This window comes from Homo sapiens, chromosome 2 (assembly GCF_000001405.40).
Source record: "Homo sapiens chromosome 2, GRCh38.p14 Primary Assembly".
Taxonomy (NCBI): Eukaryota; Metazoa; Chordata; class Mammalia; order Primates; family Hominidae; genus Homo; species Homo sapiens.
The window spans coordinates 148,455,132-148,475,058 of record NC_000002.12 but is presented as its reverse complement, the minus strand read 5'-3'; the positions used below and the strand labels follow the sequence as shown (position 1 = coordinate 148,475,058).

Below are 19,927 nucleotides of genomic sequence, written 5' to 3'. Positions count from 1 at the left end.
TTCTATACAAATCTCTCATCTCCTGAGAAGGATACTTTATAGTATAATCCACCCTTGAGCATTTTTATCCCTTAATCTTTCTGCCCCTGTAGCTTCATCTAGAAAAAACAGGGATGACAACTCCCTTTATTTTCTTTACTGCTATGTTCCAAGAACAAATGAACAAACAGGACATAAAAACCAAACTCATTACTTTGTAGTCTTTTACCCAAAGTGTTCTTTTGTGGTCTCACTATTCCATTGTCTTATACCTACCATATTAATGGCTGTCCTGAGTTTCAATCAAATGTATTTTGTGCTGAAAGAAAACTTTCTTTTGCAGTTAAAAAAATATAAGTATATAAATACTCAAGAACATTTATTTATTTGTAGGCTTATTTATATTCTTGTCATGTATATCTTTAAGAGTTAAGGCAAATAAATGTTTGAATTATTTTCTCTTCTGGCACAAACCCATACCGTGTCCCCTCAGAGGATTAAATTTTCATGTGTTTAAAAGAGCTGATTAAATGTTTTGGTTTTTTTTTAGGAAAAAATAAGAGAACATAAAAGTCATTTTAAAGTGAAAAAAGTTATGTTGTGTTGAATGACTTAGTGACTTTATCATATTGGAAGAAGGTAGGGTTGCTAATAAGCATGTTGGCAGAATAATCTAAATCTTTTTCCTTCTTTGAAAATCGTGAAAAACTGCAGGGCAAAGGAATGGATGGGTCATTGTGTGGATACTAACAGGGCTAAGTCCTCTGCAGAGGCTTGGGTTACTGGCATGTGTTTTTGTTATCTGGTAAGCAGGTGTGCAGTAGTCAGAGGATTAAAGAGGCCTGGGCATTTTGAAGTTTGCCAGGCAAGGGCACTTGATTTTGGAGTCTTCCTTAAGTCATAATATTATAGGACATGTGCTATAGCTACTCACATGCTGAAATGCATCTCTCTTTAAAAATGGAAAGTTGCTTTAAATGTCTACTACTGATGGATTTCCAGAACATACCTGCATTTGGCAGTTTGAGTGTTTGGACTGAGAATTGGGAACTTTGGGATTTGGCTGCCAGATCCAACAGAGATTTGCTTTACAACTTGAGGAATGTCACCAAGTATCCTACTGGTCAGTTTCTAAATCTGTTACATGGAAATATTAAACTTTATCTGTAATTTGATATTGAAAAAGCCAGTGGAAAACTGTAAACTTTAAAATGCAAAGTATTTTGAAGCTTTAGTGGAAAGGCAACTTGAAAACACAAAGTAGAATTAATAAAGCCTTGTATATTCATAAGCTTTAGAAATTCTTCAAAGTATTTAATATCTTTTATCTGATTTTGCTACTATCTTTGCCTTCAATTCCCATGCTTAAGTTGTATGTTTTAAATGCCTCCCATAGAATTCACATATAGGCCTAAAAATCAATATTTGGATTGTTTTGCATAGGAAGACTCTCCTTAAAAGAAGATTTAAAAATAGATTACCAATGGAACTAAGCATTTTTCAGAGAAAGTTATTTCTTATCTTGTTAATGTCTTAATGTAATATTTTTGAACTTTTACTTAGAAGAGTGGAAAAAGGCACTGGATTGAGCAAGAGGTCACCTGAGTTGTATCTAAGCTCTGTAACCACAGAGTACAGTTGGACCATGTTACCTGTTGGTTTTTTTCATCCTCACTGTGCTACCATGCTTGGAATGACATGACTAGCATCTACATCTCTTTTAAAGGCCTACTGACACGTCACCTACTAGGAAACCCATTCTAATTTGAGTGAGGTGATAATTAATTAAAAGAAAGGTCACCAAATGTGATTCACTAATAAGGGGCAGTTTTCTTGACATTTTGGGTATTTCTTCTTCTGCACTGACGTAAAAATTCTAGTCATTATTTGCTATAATATTGGCAAAAATAACTGACTTTCATCTGAAGTATATCAATAGTTAACAAATGTGGCTTTTAACATGCATTAATGTGATTTAATTTATTATCTATTGAACATTTTAAAAGATTTTGAAAGGGAACACAATACTTTTGAGCACTAAATGTTTCAGATGAAGAATTTATGCAGCTGGGAGGAAAATGGATTTTAGAATCAGATGAACCTCAGTTCAAATCCTGATTCAGTTATGTATGATACGGAACAGTTACTTAAGTTTTTTTAGCCTCAGGCTCCTGATCTGTAAAATTGAACAATAATACTTTATACTTTAGAAAACTGCACAGATTAGAAATAATATAGGGAAATCACCTGGTACATAAAAGGTACTTGACGATAGATAGCTATAGCAACATTTTAAGAATAAAATGTGGTTTTCTTCTAATGTCTTTCTGGTATCATAGAAATACTCAGTAACACTCCTAGAGGAAAAGCTGTGACTATCATTTACTGTCTCATTCTGAATGCCTACCTTTAAGGCTCAACGGTTATTTGATGAATGAATAAATGTCAGTGTAAACAGATATTTAGGCTAGGCAATTACAGTGATGGTACATTGAGTTGACACAGTTCACTACATGGCAAAAAGAAACATGGCATTAGAGACTGCTTCAATATTTAGCTCATCGAAAGAGTTATGTTCATTAGTGAATCAATCCGTTTTCATAACCAGCTGCACATCAGACCTATGCACGTTAATTAGTATTTAATTTTATTAGGTTTAATACTTTAAAAATTCTACTTAGATTTTTATTAAGCACATACTTCCTGTTAGTTTACACTAGTTGGTCATATTCATATCATTTCTAGACATGTATCCTTATCCTTTTTAGCTATTTATATGCTCACACTTTTCTGACACTAATAAATTTTTAACCTATATGCTTTGACACCCCCAGCAGTAACAGTACAGGTCAGATGTATTACAAAGATACATGAAACAAAAAAAATAAATGACCAAAACAGTATTAAATAAGTCTAAACTTGACCATCAGAAGAAACAAGAATATAAGTAAATGTTGGTCTTTTCCATTATAGATGAATTGAAATACATCAATGAAATACATACACTTTGCACATGAACTCAGACCTGAAATGAAGTAAACTGAGGTAGGGGATATCAAAACTGTATAATGCAATGAGACTAAAAATGTCCCATCAAAATTATTTAAGGTATGCTCAATAAATATGGTGTACTTTTAAATAGTTATGAACTTTGTGTGACTTTTCTGCTAAATAGATAAAATAAAATTTTCATTTGTGTCGAGTTATCTAAAAAGAAATATGATGAGTGAGTGAAAAGCTGGAAGCCCCCTATGGGATAAGTATACTGTTAGACACATAAAACATAAAGTTTTATGAGATTCTTTAAACTAAGAATATCAAGAAGGCACTAATAATTTCAAATATCTTCTAAACCATATATATATTTAACATAAGAGATCATTGAATAGTTCTTCATTAAATAGTGACATCAAAACATAACACATAACACAAGATGTGAAGGATGGCAGGTGTAAATGGCAACACTAGGAAGGAAAACGCTTTTACTATCAGCAACAAAGACATGTGGGTTAGAATGCTTCTCCAGCATGACGGTATTATACCTACACACTAGCTTATTATTAAAAACCTCAGCAGTTTTCTCATTCCCAGTAGCAATCTGGTTTTCATAGCACACTGTTTTCATAGTGAACAATAATGTCTTTACAACCATCTTTTATTTCCTCCTTGTCATTTCTCATAAATCATTAGTGTTGAATAATGTTTTCATAGTCAAATTTTCTGATGCCTCAACACATTTACCTCTTAGGTGCTTCTGTACAGTTTTTATAACAATTTCTGAGGACTCTATTGCACAAAATACAGGTCTTTTTCTAATATGCCTACTTTTAAATAAATTTGTTTCCTTAATGGTGGCTGAAGAGATACAATAGATTTGGGTTCAAAACCTTAATGTCAATGATAAAAATGGTTTAGTTCTACAAGAAACTCAAAAAACAATTTCAAGATTAAAAATTCTGGAAATCAGGTTTTCAAGCCTTTTTTTTATTAGAAAGCTTAAATTATTAGCTTTTTTTTTAAAAGGGAGTAGCCAATATCCATTTTTGAGTTTTCTCAAACAAATAATAAGGATAGCAAACTAGGATAAGAAAACACATTAGAAGACAGCCTTCTACTTCGTACAACTTCTAGTTACCTTTTCCTATCCATTCACCTACTTCTGTTCAGCAGCAAGAAAAAAAATCCATTTATTTTTGCCTTTTTGGATTTTTCCAAGATAAACTTCATTTACCTGAATACAAACAAAAGCTAGGGAGATGGCTTTTATATTGGCATAGACCAAGGACATGTCTCACAAACCAGGAAACCCTGCCTCGTATGGCTTATTTTGCAGTTTGGAGTCCAATGGTTATAAAACCAAGTGAAAGTCGAACAATATTCAAAATGACACAGATTGACAACAAATAATGGAAACACATGAAATCCTCTTAGCTGTTAATCTTCCCAATAGACAAATCCCTAGCATTCTGTAAATAAAATTATAAATACTAAAGAAATGAAGAGAATTTCACAATGGGGAAAGGATCATTTCTTATCATAATAAATATTTTGGTACAAATTTTTTAAAAAAGTAGAAAAGTTTAGTACCTTTGGGTACTTTTTTCTAATAAAACCATACCTGCTTCAGAACTTGTTTGATTATAGCTGCTAACAATGCTGTTTGGTATCACTGGAGTGGAGGACGTTGAAATTCTTGACTGAGGTGGATTGGGATGTAAGGAATTTCCTAAAGCCATGCCCGACTGACTGAGCATCCCACAGTTCCCGCTAGCCTGAATCTGATTTATTAAACCTGCAAGATGGTGGTTGGGGACTGGACTGTTACTGTGAACAAAGTTAGTGTTTGCATTGTGGCAGTGCACGGCTTCCCCTCTTAAAGGTATGTTCTGAAGAACACTAGAGTTCATACTGGGATCTGTAAAATGCAGCTGGTTAGCAGAGCAAGGCAAAGCAGTATTTGAGGCCCCACAACCCGGGGTACTATTGCTACTCAAGTGAGAGCTTTGACAACTCATAGACTGTAGTAACTGAGACATTGAACTGATGGGAAATGAACCCTGACCCTGCTTCCTTAGCAAGTCAGGTCCAGGTTTAGGAACTGCAGAACTATCCATTTGAGACTGTCTGAGCAAACTCAACACTGTCGTAGGTGGTTGTTTTCTTTTCCGCAATGCGTCTTTTTGCTGAGACATCAGCTTATCTCTTAGTGCTGCTCGACCACTTTGCCCTTCACCTGTTGGGAGAAGCATGTTGGCAGTAGGAGGGAACATGGTGTTTAAAGTGCTATGTCCTTCAGTGTTGCCACTGCCGGCAACAGCTCCAGAATTGCTACTGCTGCTACTGTTGTTACCAGCAAGTTTGTTTTGATTTGCTAGCTGTGCTTTGGCTGCTGCTGAGAGTAAACTACTTGCTGGAAAGGAGGCAGCATTGTGCTGGTTCAAGATCTGATTTAAAGGCATTCCCAGCAAACCAGGCTGACTCTTTACAGAACTACTTCCGGCAGATGCAGTAGGAAAAGCTGCACTGCTTGGGGTATTTAGTACATTACTTATTCCAGCAATTAATGGGTTAGGGATATCCTTGTACTGATGATGTCCATCGGACTTGGTAGAAGGGCTTGATGGCATTGATGGCCTTGGGGACCCTATTGTTGACCTTGGTGACCTGGGTGGAACCTTAATACCACTAGAAGTGGCCTGGGGTCCTACAGGTGGCATCATGAAATTTCCATGATCTGATGATGTGGAAGATGAGCGTGATCTTTGGGGCGATGCCTCAATCCTTCCAATTCCAGTCCCCATCATGTGCACGGGGGATGTCACTGGAGAAGGGGACAGGGAGGTTGAAGCTGAATGCTGAACTCTTTGTACATGACTCCCATGATTCATGTGACCAGGTTTTACAGTTGGCAATGGGAGATTACTTGGCAAAGGAACAACAGCAGGAGGCATGCTTACATTCATCATAGGTACCTGAGAGTGGACATTTGAATGGAAACTGGTTGGATTAATGATAACAGGGTTCTGATTCACTGGTTTACTAGGAATAGGGTCAAGAATGCCAAGTGGATCTTTCTCAGATGTTAATGGCTTTTTCTGAAGAGCACAAGAAGGTGGAGGAGGGGGAGGTGGGCCTTGGGGTGGTTTGTGGTGGAACATTGCTCGTGGTATTTCCATATTAGTTGAAAAATTACACATTGGTTTTTTCATTACTGGACTCTTTGTAGTCAAGGTTGGGGAAAGAGGTATATTAGTCCTTCCAGCCATTGCACAGGATGACTGTACAGGAGAACCATGTAGCATTACTGAAGGTGGAGAAAGAGGAGTCCTATTCAGGTGAATAGGACTAGAATTGGGAGCTCCATGAAAACCAGGATTACTTCTTGTGAAAACATCAGGACTTCCAAGTGGGTCAGTCCTTGGAGAGATTGAACCATCTCCATATATCTGGGAACCTGATGACGCTGGGCTGGGCAGGCCTCCATGGCTGCCACGGAATGGAGATTTCTGTCCATGTTCACTGCTGCCCAATCTCTGTCGGGGGTAGACAGGGTGGAGTTCTTGTTGTTGGCTTCCAGGCAGTTCTTGTACATATAGCCTTCCCATGGCATTTGATGATCCAATCATTAACTTGAAAGGATTCTTACATTCAGGCATTACAGAATTTGTAATTCCTTCATGAGACTTATTTCTTACTGATCTTGGAGTTGCTGCCCGAGAAGGTACTACTGGAGTTGCATCTGATGTGAAAGAGAAAAAAAGAATTCTGTTAACAGTCTCAACTCTTTTGTGGTGGGAGGGAGGGAAGGAATGGAGGAAATCAGGAAGGGAGAGGGAGGATGGGCATCTGGAAATAGGAATCTGTAAATAAAAGCTGTGATTCTATGCAATTAAAAATAGTTCTATATATTAATACTATTTTAAATTTGATTTAAAAAATGTACATTATTTTCCCTTTGTTGACCAAAGGTTCTCAGTAACTGCTCATTATGCTTATTTACTCTTTATCTGTTGAGAAAGCATGGGCATCTAAAGCAATACATAATGACATTAGCCATTCTAATAATATTTAGAATATACAAAATCAAGACTGGCAGTCCAGATGGAAATGGTGATATTACTATTTTGTTGGATTTAGAATTTTTAAGAATGCAGTTACAATAGAAAATTGTGGTTTGTGTGGCATAATATTTTCTTGGGTGATTTAAATGAATTGCCATTTTCACCACAAAATGTTCACCCTTATAACAAAATGTTTGTTATCTTACTGCAACCTTCTCAGAACAGATACCGTAATATTTCCTTATCCCAACATTTTCACTATGAGAGTAAGACTTGATTTCTGTCTAATGGGATTCCAAATCTTTTATAATGGGAGTAATAAGAAGAATAAATGCAGTGATATTGCAAACTAACCCATGCTTAGTTTCACATCATGTTTCTAACACTGTAATTTCTTTGCCCTTAATTAGTCATTATTGTAAAAACAGCCACACCCTTTTACCAACTTAGGTAAAAGACTGCAATTCTTTCATTAGACAATTGGGTGTATTCAGGGTGGTATGGCCACAGACTTCAATTCTTTTATTAGGATAGGTTTCTTATGTAAAATTTAGTTGAAGTGCTAAAACCTTCAGTACTGGGCTCCAATTGCATATTCTCTTTTTACATGAGTGCATTTCTCCTTCTCTGGCTGTTTGGAATCCCTTCAGTTTTTCTGGAGATCAGACAGAATACAGGCAACAAAAGCAAGCAGATTCATCATACAGAATTTTCATTCTATCACATCAGAATTCTAGGTTTCGCTTTTTTAGCCCCTTACGATATCTATTTTATAAAGTTATGCCTTTTAAAATGAAAATGGCAAGTAAAATTTGTTTCATATGCCAATTCCCACCAATTGGTGGTAGCTGCTTAGAAAGCTGTGTTGGAAAGGAAGCTGAACTCTAGCTGGGCTCCATGAGAAAATGCCAGTGAGACTGTTACAGGCATAGGAGATGAGAATGGCACCATTCAAACTATACATCCTGCCATACCTATTTTGAGACTTACATTAGCAAGTAGAGTTACATTCATTTGCAATAATAGGTATGCTTACTTAACTGGATAATTACACATTTAAGATTAAATATATTTTTCCTATCTGCTAGACACTATACAGGTCAAATCATATCATAACAATTACTGAGATAGTGGATCTCAACCTGGGGTCCAAATAAATCTACATAGAGCACATTCAATTAGTAAGAGAATGCTGTGAACATTTGTTTTTCTTGGAAAATGTGGAATTTCTGATTTTATCATGGTAGAGGTTCTTTGATAGAATGATTTCTGGATATAATATATGAAAAGTTGAGATCCAATGATATGAGAGAATTGCAGTAGATAAACTCAACTGAAGCTTATTTTCTTGTTAAAAAGAGATTTTTAAAGTTTGTAATTAAAGGAACAAAATGAAAAACGTTAATATTTTGGGCACTGTGCTTGGCAAATAGTGAGAACATTAACGTCATTAGCATTATCCTATGACTGACCATGTTCTCTTTAGTGACAAAACAACCTACTTGCATTTTTTCTTGGGTATCAATGTATTTATATAATTATCTACAGTTCAGTGATTAAAAATACAGACACTGGAATTTTTATATTCAACTAACAGAATTTAGATAATAACTGTGGTTCAGAAAAAATTTCTTCCAAACTTGGGGGAAAATAGTTACCATTTTAAAAGTAACTGAAATACAAAATAAACAAAAGTCAGGCTGATGTTTTGTTATAGAGTTGGCAAGTGGAAATGCTAGGCACCCATCAAGTGCTTTCAAAAGAATAAACAGTACCTTCCAAAAGAATAAACAGAAACAGATGCTTATGTATTTAAATAATGGGAGGTGAAAAACTACTAAGTCAGTCTTCTGAACTTTTAATTATTCAAATCTCAACCTTATGATAATATAGTTTAAAATTAGGAAACTAAAATAAATGCTATGTCTGAAGCTAGGAAAAGTAATCAATCCCATAAAGAGTATCATTTTAAAAAGGAATGGAGGTGTACCTATTACTACCTGTGCTAGTTATATATTTACCTTTAATTTCAATAATTAAACTTGTATGTATAGGTATGACAAAGAAGTGAGATCTAGATTCTGCCAGGGTCTTTAGAAAGGCAATAAGCAGACTCTGTAGAAACTGGTAAATCTATATGATATTATGTGATGTGAGAGCAAGCACAGGTAAGAATATGTCCACGGTAATATGCAACAATGAAAACATAGTTATACCTCTTCACATGAATTCTAAGTGTGAATCTTTAATTACCTGCATGACATGGCAACTGTTCTTCTTTGTATCCAAAGCAATCAGTAATTTGGCCCCAATTTACCTACATCGGTCTAATCTTCTATTCAAGTCAGTTTCTACAACATCCCTTATTATGCGACACTCATTATGGAGAAGGTTTTTCCTATCCCTCTTATATGTCTAAATCCTACTATTTTCTAAGACTGGTCCAAATCTCAGTTCTGCCATAAAGCTTTCTCTGATCACTACAGGTATACTCATCATCCCTATTTTTCAGAGTTCCATGGGAAAGTATCAATAATCCCTCATAAACAAATGCTTTGGTGTTTAGCCATATTTTATTCTGAATTAATATTCAAACATTAGATTATAATATTTTAGAGAGCATTCATATTCTATCCCTTACAAAAAGAAGTTCCTCAGTCCCAAAGTATAATTCCACAGAGTACACATTAATCATAAAGGGAAAAGGGTACTTCAATAATGGGAAAATCAAATGGACATAATTTTAACTAAGCAATCAAACAATGTTATCAAAATGGGATAAACTGACATTATGTGTCTAATGATGAGGAGCTAACATCATCTATGCAGTATTCCTAGCAAAATGTGTTTAGCCTGAACATAAATATGAGGAAAATCCAAACTGAGGAACATCGTGCAAAGTTGGCCTAGACTCTTCAAAAATTTCAATGTCATGAAAAATTGAAAAAGACTTAATTGATATAAAGATATGTAACAACTAAATGCAGTGTACAATCTTTGATTGCAATGTGAATCTTTAAAAAGACTGACTTCTTTTTTTTTTTTAATCAAGACAGAGTTTTGCTCTATCACTCAGGTTGGAGCACAGTGGTGTGATCATGGCTCACTGCAGCCTCCAACTTCTGGGTTCAAGAGATCTCCCACCTCAGCCTTCTAAGTAGCTAAGACTAAAGGTATGAGCCACCACCATGCCTGGCTAGTTTTTTTTTTTTTTTTAAATTATTTTAGAGACAGGTCTTGCTGTATTGTCTAAGCTCGTCTCAAACTCCTAGCCTCAAGCGATCCTCCCACTTCAGCCTCCCAAAGTGCTGAGATTACAGGTATGAGCCACTGCACCTGGTCAAGACTGAATTTCTGTGAAACTATAAGAGACACTGTTAGGACAATTGGAGAAATCTGAATACAGATTGCATGTTAGATAATAATATTATGTCAGTGTTAAATTTCCTGAATGTGAGCCTTAGATCGTGTTTATGTAAGAGTGTGCCCTTGTACTCTGAAATATTTAGGGTTGAATTGTCACAATAACTGCAACTTCTGCAACAAAATGTTAATTGGTAAATTTAGATGAAGGATACTCCATGAACTATTCTTGCAACTTTTCTGCAGCTTTGAAATATTTAAAAAAGAAAGCCCCCATGCATGCGTGTGTGTGGTGGTGGAGATATAAAAAGTTTTCAGCAAGGTGATTTCTGTTTAGTAGGTGTTCGACAAATAACTAAAAGAATAACACTGCTTTTGGGGACTTGATACCACACATTCCAATCCACCCCCAGGAAAAAGGCTACATTTATTTCCTAAAAACCAAGGGAACTTTTGTTAGCTCAGCTTTACACACTTGCAGAGTATTTGTATGTACTAATTAGTGTTTATTCTGCCTGTTAAACTGAATGCTCTGGGTAAGAAATTTTGGAAAATAACCTCACTATATTTTTTCAGAACTAGTTTGCTATTTGTAATAAAATTACAGGACATACAGAATTTTAAAAGCATTGTGCGTGCCTGAAAAGTAGAATGAGAAAATGCTAGGCAAAATGATTTCTAGCAACTCCTTCTCTAGGGAGAGGAGAATTCCTGAACCTTTCACCATATTACATACTTGTTCCTCCTCCGGGACTGGTGAGCACCAGAGAAGGATGTGGGGCTTCCATGCTTTTATGAAGTGTGGCCACTGCAATAATTTTTCTTTTATGTATGCATAGCTTTGTGACATCTTCATCTGCCTTAACATCTTCTGCGGTTCTCTGTTTCACAGCAGCTCCAGGATCAAAATTAAATACCTGGAAAAAGCACAGCCTTTGTTTAGAATATGTCTGTAAAAACATTTAATAAAAAGATCCCTTTGTTTAAAAAAAAAGTTGTGCATAGATTAAGCCATAAATCTGAATAAAACTTTCTCAAGTTTTTAAGAAAGGCAACTTTATATAACTTAGTAAGTACTTCTGCTGAACTCAAGCTTTTAGTGGCAAAGTAAATAATGAATACTATCCTAATTCTAAGACAGCCAAGATAAATATATGAAAAGGTATAATATCTGATAATGTTCTCAATTTTAGATACCTCCTGATGTTCTAACAGTGTAAAAACAGATGAAGTACACTTAAAAAAGACAAAACAAAAAGCTATGATATTTCTACATATTAACTTTTTCCTTGGCTTCATTTTATTATTACGTTAATATTATCTTGTCACTGATTTTGAAAATCTATTACTTGTTTTGTTTTAAATTTATTTATTATGTTAATCTTTTTTTGGAATGCGGTGACACACAAATGAAAAGTAAAAATTGTCTAACCTTTACTTTTAAAATTGGCATTATAATAGACATTCACAAAATAATGACCTATTTCTATAGCAAATAATATTTTACCATTTTACATGATTTTACTTTTTACCTTGCAAATGAGTAAAACAGTTTCATATTTTGGCTAGGAGGGTTCAGTTTTGTGATTTTGAGAATATCTGTGGCAGATTTATCAATACCAGTGCTAACAATAACATTGCAGATTTGAGCAGTTACAGTAATGAGAGAAAATATTGCACTATTAAATGCCGAGCAATATTAGATACAGCTCTAATGAAAAGGTAGAAAGGTGGTTTTAATGAAATTTAATATGAATATAGATTTGACACCTTTGAAAATGACTCTTAGACATGAATTATTTTCCACAATTTTTAAGCATTCCAAAACACATGCAAAATATGAGAATTAGATAAAGAATTAAAATGTATGATTGGAGAAGTAATAAAAAATAAAATTCCAAATGAGAAAAACAAATATACAAAATACCTAAAAAATAAAACACTGCTGTAGATCTATTGTGAAATGGTTACCTTGGGAAGAATAAGAGGACATTCCAAGCCACACTTGCATGTTCCATCAGTAAGCAGGTATGTTTTAACCTGCTCCAAGCAAGATAACAAAGACCCACTGGGACTGTAAAAATAGTTTAAAAAAACATCAGGAAATAATTTTGACTACACATATTATATGAAAAAAGGCATAATTTATAGTCTTACTGTCCTTTATGGGATATTTTCCCACTAGGGAAAAGCATTTTCTTTGTCAATATTATGTTAGCTACTAAATTATAGCCTTTAACAATATTGTGTTTTCTTTTGAACCAAAATATTTCTCAGAAAAATACAGATCTTCATAGAAAATTAAATAAAAGTATTCTGAAAACCAAGAGTAGACTAAAGGTGGTAAAAATGCTATTCTTAAGAAAGGACAGAAGCAGGCAAGAAAGGAACAAAGAACAAGAAAACTACATAAAAGCAATGACTCTCATTTTAAACTAGAATATCTACTTTGAAAGCTCTTTGAGGAAAAACAGAAATTTAGAAACATATTGAAGTTCGAACCAGAAAGTTGGCAAGTCCACAAAAGTTGGAGTGAGCAAGTCCCTGTTTATCTTGGAATCTAGAACCAAGTTGTCCCTATGTAAAAACAGGTTTCTTTTATCTCCCCCTTACCCATGTGTTTCTTTAAAGATATAATAGATCAGTTATATCCGAAGATACACTGAAGAGTCAAACTGTACAGAGAGAGAGAGAGGAATTAAGCAGAGTTGACAAAAGAAAGGAAACTTATGAGGAAATAGGGTTTTAGGCAGCAGAAATGTGCCTCGCAGGTCTTCGGGCTAATAATCGTGTAGGTACTTCAATGTTACGAAGTTTCAGATCACAAAAGTCAGTAAGATATGTGAATATTCATCAATACAGATTAAGTAGTAATTCAGATGACAAGAGATGTCTCTGATTTTTATTTACAATGGGAGTTATTTTATGTGAGATGGACAATCTGCATTTTAGGACTTTACATTAACATGTCAATGTTTGAACTTAAATACATATTATGCTTTGAAATTATATACTTTTCACTTGAGAATATCTTTTAGTTATGACTATTTACCAAAACCTTCACTTAAGCCCTCTGACCAAGTTCATCCAGAAACAATAATCTCCATTTCATATACAAAACATTACAATACTGGACACAGATTGTTCTATCTACAAAAACACAAGTAGTATTTTTTAAAAATCTATTAGTGAACTAGCTTTAAAATGCAATTCATATTTTATTTATGGACACTTATGAAAGTAATTTCAGCATGTAGAAAATCTAAACAAAAATCCTCAACTTTGTCAAATTACTCATTTACTTAGGCTATTTTTTTTTCAGGTGATATGCAGAGAATTCTCATTTTAGTGACGAGTTCAACCACTGCAGGGAAGGGCAACAAGATGTCTTTGGAGGTCTGGTGATTTCAATAAACTAAGTCAGGCTGAGTGCAGTGGCTCACGCCTGTAAACCCAGCACTTTGGGAGGCCGAGGCAGGCGGATCACTTGAGGTCAGGAATTTGAGACCAGCCTGGCCAACATGGTGAAACCCCGTCTCTACTAAAAATACAAACATTAGCTGGGCATGGTAGTGTGTGCTTGTAATTCCAGCTACTCGGGAGGCTGAGGCATGAGAAATGTTTGAACCCAAGAGGCAGAGGTTGCAGTGAGCCAAGATGCGCCACTACACTCCAGCCTGGGCGACGGAGTGAGACTTTGTCTCAAAAACAACAAGAAAAAAAGTATAATGTCTTGTTGATTTTTCATGTGAAGCATTCATGAATTTGGTGAAAAGGAACTGCCCAACATTTTAACTTAGAAGAAAGTATATGGACGGAATCCTAGAGGAATTTAATTGTAAAATTAAACCTGAAGACATGAATTCCTTAATTCTATTAAAGTACTCCAGATGCTTTAAAAACATTTCCTCTCAAAAAGTCAGTTGGCTTCTTTCCTTCAGTTGTATCTCTTTAATTAATTTCTCAGAGTAATAATTAATGTAAAAAAGTTTAAAAACTTACAGCATAGATAAAGCTTAGAAGATTGGAAGTAGGTGGAAAATTTAATGTGTAGCCTCAATGCCACCCTGAGGCAGGAGCAGCTGGAGACCAATCTAAAAATTATGAGTAAACTGCACATTGAGCAGGGAGCTATAGAAGGAGCTATACATGTTCAAGTAGTAATTTAGTTATATACAAACAAATTAAATCTATGCTGGTTAATTTAATTTGAGAGTGTTTTACCTAATCTAGGAAAGCTTGTTTCCAAAATAATTATCAGTATACAGATTTGAAGTTGGAGAACCCATACTAACAAGGATATCAGATGGTATAAAGTCTAGTCAGACTTAGAAAATCATGAACAAGATACCTGACAGTTTCTTAGACTTTAACTTGGTTTTTGACTCCCAGATTTACTTTGGTTTTTGCTCGCAGAAGTTGAAAAAGCTCATCTATCTTTCATAGGAACAAAAAGGAAGTGAAAAAAAAATTATCCAGATTTTAGAGTCTTTTGTTCTATGCTGAATATACATTTGCTCTTTATAAACTAGAACAACCATAAGTATAAACATATAACACAGATAACTTGCTATATTATATTTATAACAAAGTATTTCTGGTACTTTGTTAACAGCACTGGCAATAGAAACTCTGAAGAAGTTATCTCATGTGTGCTTGTTCATCTCATCTACCATGGGATGAGCTTCATATTCTCTGCTTTCTTATCCCTTCACCCCAATAAATATGGATCACATCTTTAATATTATAGAAGTAAAATTTATGCAACAAAATGCTTTTAATTGGTAATTAGATTTACCTCCAGAAACGCCTTACACACAACAAGCAAACAAACTCAGGACAGAATCTGAACTGACTTTCTGAGTTATTATGCCATAAAATAGTCTGTGTTTACATAACCAAAAATATCTCATTTCTATGAATACATTCTTGCTGGACTGGCAAATTCTGTTGAAGCTGGGATATAAATAGCCACACTGAAAGTAAATGCATCAATCTAATAATGGAATGTGATACCTTTTAAAAAGTTTTAAGTTGTTTCTAAAATTTTTCATTACATCACAAGAAAGATTTATGGTATCTTCTTTCAGACACTTACAGAAAAACTATGAAGTAGGGAACTTAGATGTCAACTATTTAATGAGTAAGACTAAAACTTCTTCTTAACAGTTTAGTCATTCCATTCAACTTGTTCTACAACAGATGTATAGCATTGACATTGAAAAGAGTAGGCATTTTATTTGTATGACTATTTACTTGTAAGATGCAGAGCCTTCTCCATGACTTTTTCACTTTTACTATTACACGCAAGGAAATAGATTAAAGACTATGCAGAAAAAAAGAAATGTATTTTTAGTTAACATGAGGCATTAAGAAGTCTAATAATTGAAACTTTCTATGGATAAAAACTCAATTTTATCAAAAAAGCCAGCTGACACACTCTGAAGGACAGAGTAATTCTGTCAAGTGATATCAGGTCAAGTGATATTCCCAGTATTTTACATTCTCCTGTGAATGTGGTAATGATGATTGCATGTTTCTTTTAGAAATCTTCTTATTTTTCTTTATTCTTGTTACAGAGATAAGCAGAATGACACCTTATATAAACAAGTAATGCAAAAAATTCTCTCTGGAAATCTAAGGCAATAAAAATTCTCATATGTTTCTAGCACAAAGGTCACTTTTTCACATTTATATGAGGTGCCATCAGTCACCATGCTTGGTTCTCTCCTTAGTCTTTGGAGTACAACTTTGCAGGTACCACAGGTAATAATAAGAACTTACCTGACATAAAGCACTCCATTTTGATCCACACGACGCTGCCAACCCACAGGAACTTGTATAGCTGGAAGACCTCCTTCCTTGTCCCCTCCGTCACACTCTTTGCCTCCATTCATTTTCTGTGTCTGCTAGGGACTCTCCAAAGATATCAGCAATAAGATGATATCCTTATATTACAGAGCATGATGGCCTTCAAAAGTGGGCCAGTGCAGCACAGTTTTTCCCAGACTGTACAAAACGCATTGGGAAGCTTCAGCTCAGTTTGGAACCAAGTCCTTGAAATATGCCATTGTGAAAAAAATCAGCTTCCCATTATAATCTACATTAAATAACCAATATTTAATTCCTAAGGATGGTCTACATGGGTAAAAATGAGTGCTTCTGACTAAGGAAAATCATAATTCACCAATGCTGGTACCTGTCTGAAGTGGGGGTGGGGAGTGTAAAGTTTTTAGTTCAACATTTGTCTTGAACCTTGATGTTGTACTAAGACAATCTCTATTGTTTAGAAACTGGTCTCATTTTTACAGTGTGAGTCGGTTAATATTTCCAGGTACCCGCCTTTATAGGCCACATTCTTTAAACTTTCTCTTTATCTTCCAATCTGAATCCAAGGTGTTGCAGGTTGGTTCATCTGATGTTTTCATGACTTCAAAATTCCAATAATGTAGCCTGAAACATATGTAAATATGTGAACTTGTATATTTAATGTTGAAAACTGAGAAGCTTTACAGTTTTAAAATAGAATAAACTACGAAGTGTACCCAATCACATTGATGTCCTTTGCTATCAAAATCATACGTCAAATTCAAGTTGTTTCCTTCTTCCAACTTAGTCCACTTACTCCAATTAAACTAATCTACTTGCTCTTCGGCATATCCAACTTTCTAATTACTAGAGACAGACCCGTAATTATGGCATTACATATACACATACACTCAAACATACAAACGTACACATAAGGCCTCCTTCTAACTTGACATAAAAATATATCCATCACTTCTTAATGACCGTAAACTACACAGTTGTGTGTTAATCCAACCATATTTTAATAAGTCCTTAATATTATATAACCCTTTGATTCAGTTTTCTTTTCTAATCATTATACAGTTTTGGTCTAGAGAAGAAAATGTTTATTTTTTTAAAATAAAAAGTTAGAAGGAAATAAATTTATAGTACTTTTCCAAATATAAGAGGTGGTTTCCCTCCCATATTACTGAATATGAGTGGAAGTTGCTTTATAGTCAAGAATTTACAAAATTCCTTATATTATGGGGTGCTCTTTTAATTCCCTTATTCAGTTATGAGGTGCTATTTGAGGAGGACATACTAGCTTGAAACAGCCATAATCAATGATAGTGTGGAATGCTTATAAAAGTTATCTTGATTGAGCTATTAAATAAAAAATCATGGCAAGTAAATTTTTAGAAGATTTAGTATCCAATCTTGTGGGGAATGCAACTTCACATTTGTTAGTATTATTTGTTTTTGTAAAGAAGCCTTTTTATGACCAATTTAATATACTGTATATAGTTACATTGTGGGATTCATGAAACTACACTAAAGAATGCGTAAAAAACAATTATCCTAGTGTTGAATGAATGGGACTTGTGGTTTGTGATAAATATTTCAGTGGCAGCATTGTCCACAGATTCAAAAAATACTATATTTCAAACAATTTAAATGGAAGTGAAGATGATATACTCTGAAAAACTGTGTTAAATGACTTAAGATTCTTATGAAAGTATTAAATTGAAATCATTTTAAAACACATAAGTGAAGAAGCTAATGTATTATTTTAGACAACACGTATTTCAAAGATGCATGCATAACTTAATCAAGTAACAAATTAAACAGTGTAAATAGACACATAACTACTTAACTACATTCCTAAAAGTCTGTGTAGTTAAGTTGGCCCGAAACCTTTTTTTGGATCTCTCATTAGGAAAGCAGGAGACCACCTTGCAGTAAAGGCCATCGTATATTCAGGTATATGCCTTATTTGCAGCCTTGGCTCTGAGACAGGTTAAGGGTGTTGTAATGAAGCATTTACTCACAACTGAAAACAGGGAACTGTGGGTATGGACGTGGCAAACACTGGCAGGCAATGGGGAAAATATCAAAAATTTACTGGGAAAAATTTCAGACTATAAAAAGTACCAAGTAGTAGCAATTCCAATGGGGTCTCAAGCTGGAAATTTGCACCACTGGCCCCAGTCCACTGTGTTATACTTCTCACAGAAATGGCCCATCTACAGGCATAACATCTTCCACTCACTATACCTTTGACCATGACTCCTGCTGTTCATGTCTGTGTTTATTCATATTTCATTCAACAGTTAGTGAGCAGCTACTATATGTGCTAGGTACTATGCTAGGTGCTGGGAGTACAAAGATGGTAAGTACTGTGGTCTGAATGTCTGTGTCCCCCCCAAATCCGTAGGTTGAAATCCTAACCCCCAAGGTGATGGTATTAGGAGATAGAGCCTTTGGGAGATGATTAGGTCATGGGGGCAGAGCCATCATGAATGGCATTAGGCCATAAAGAGATCTCTTCCAACATGTGAGTTTGCAGTGAAAAGACCACATGCACCAGAAAGTAGTCCCTTACCAGACACTGGATCTGCCAGTGCCTTTATCTTGGATCTCCCAGCCTCCAGAATTATGATAAAAAAGTTTATGTTGTTTATAAGCCATCCAGTTTACAGTGTTTGGTTATAGCAGCCTGAACTACGACAGCAAAGTACTATTTATCCAAAGCCCAGTGTAATATTTGGCACTAATGAGCTATTCAATGTGGAAGAACAAAAAGGAAAGAGGACGGGAGGGATGAGGAAGTTAGGACGGGTCAATCCCTGTTCACAAGGAGTTTGTGGCCTCATGGAATTTCTAGCGCTTGTGAAAGTGGTATGAACTTTGTGTCATCCTGGACCTCTAGTTTTGTCAAATAGCAACAGACTCTGATGACCAAACTTGTTTTTTTTACAGTCCCTTTTCATGCCTGTTTTATTACCTTGCTTTTCCAAAGAAATCTCTTCAGTGGTCTCATCATTACACTGGGCCCATTCCCATTTTCCCTACTTTTCAGCTTTCTATTTGATACCTTTTTTTTTTTTCTGCCTGCTCTTAAATGTGGCTCCAACTTCCCTGAGACTGGCTGGCTCACTCCATTAAGTAATTTGTGGATCTGCCAGATAATAACATTGTAGTGATTCCTGCCAAATGCTTCCCTCACATTTCAGTAATCAAAAATACCAATATCTGATGGCTGGGTTTTGCTTAAACCAGGAGTTCTCTAACATGGTTCTGGGACAAACATCACTATTACCAGTAACACCTGGGAACTTGTCAAAAATGCAGATTCACAGGCCCAATCTCAGACTTAGTGAATCAGAAACTCTAGGGACAATCTATTTTTTAGTAAACCTCTAGGTGCTTGTTCTGATGCCTGTTCGAAGTTTGATGCCTGATCAAGACTGACACCCTAATCCGTCTGCCTCTCTTCCCAAGAAAAGGCTGGTTTTACAGCTTTACATCTTGCAGGCAGCCAGCCCTCTAATTTCTTTTGTCCAGGGTTTGGGGATGGAGTATGGGAGGATCATCCCTTTTTTGCTGCTACTTCAGCCTTCCAGAGGCAGCACAATTGTAAGGGTCTTAGGAAGCCCTCATAGCAAAAATCCAATATAGTTATCATTTATCTGTTAAGTGGCAATTTTTTTCGCAACACTCATCTTGTGAATTTG

At 35.2% G+C, this 19,927-nt stretch overlaps 1 protein-coding gene across 31 annotated transcripts in view; it reads right to left on the bottom strand.

Moving 5' to 3' along the window:
* MBD5 (methyl-CpG binding domain protein 5) overlaps positions 1–19,927 on the bottom strand; it is a 496,045-nt gene that overhangs the window by 41,913 nt on the left and 434,205 nt on the right. For 30 of the 31 annotated variants that reach the window (XM_047445056.1, XM_011511472.3, XM_047445068.1 and 27 more), the window contains 4 exons: positions 16,188–16,856; positions 12,375–12,477; positions 11,140–11,320; positions 4,598–6,718 (listed from right to left, as the gene is read on the bottom strand). In XM_047445056.1, the coding sequence (XP_047301012.1) occupies positions 4,598–6,718; positions 11,140–11,320; positions 12,375–12,477; positions 16,188–16,300 (2,518 nt within the window). In that variant the 5' untranslated portion in view covers positions 16,301–16,856. Of the gene's footprint in view, positions 1–4,597; positions 6,719–11,139; positions 11,321–12,374; positions 12,478–14,754; positions 14,841–16,187; positions 16,857–19,927 lie in introns of those variants that run through there. The other variant, XM_047445086.1, reaches the window with a different exon arrangement.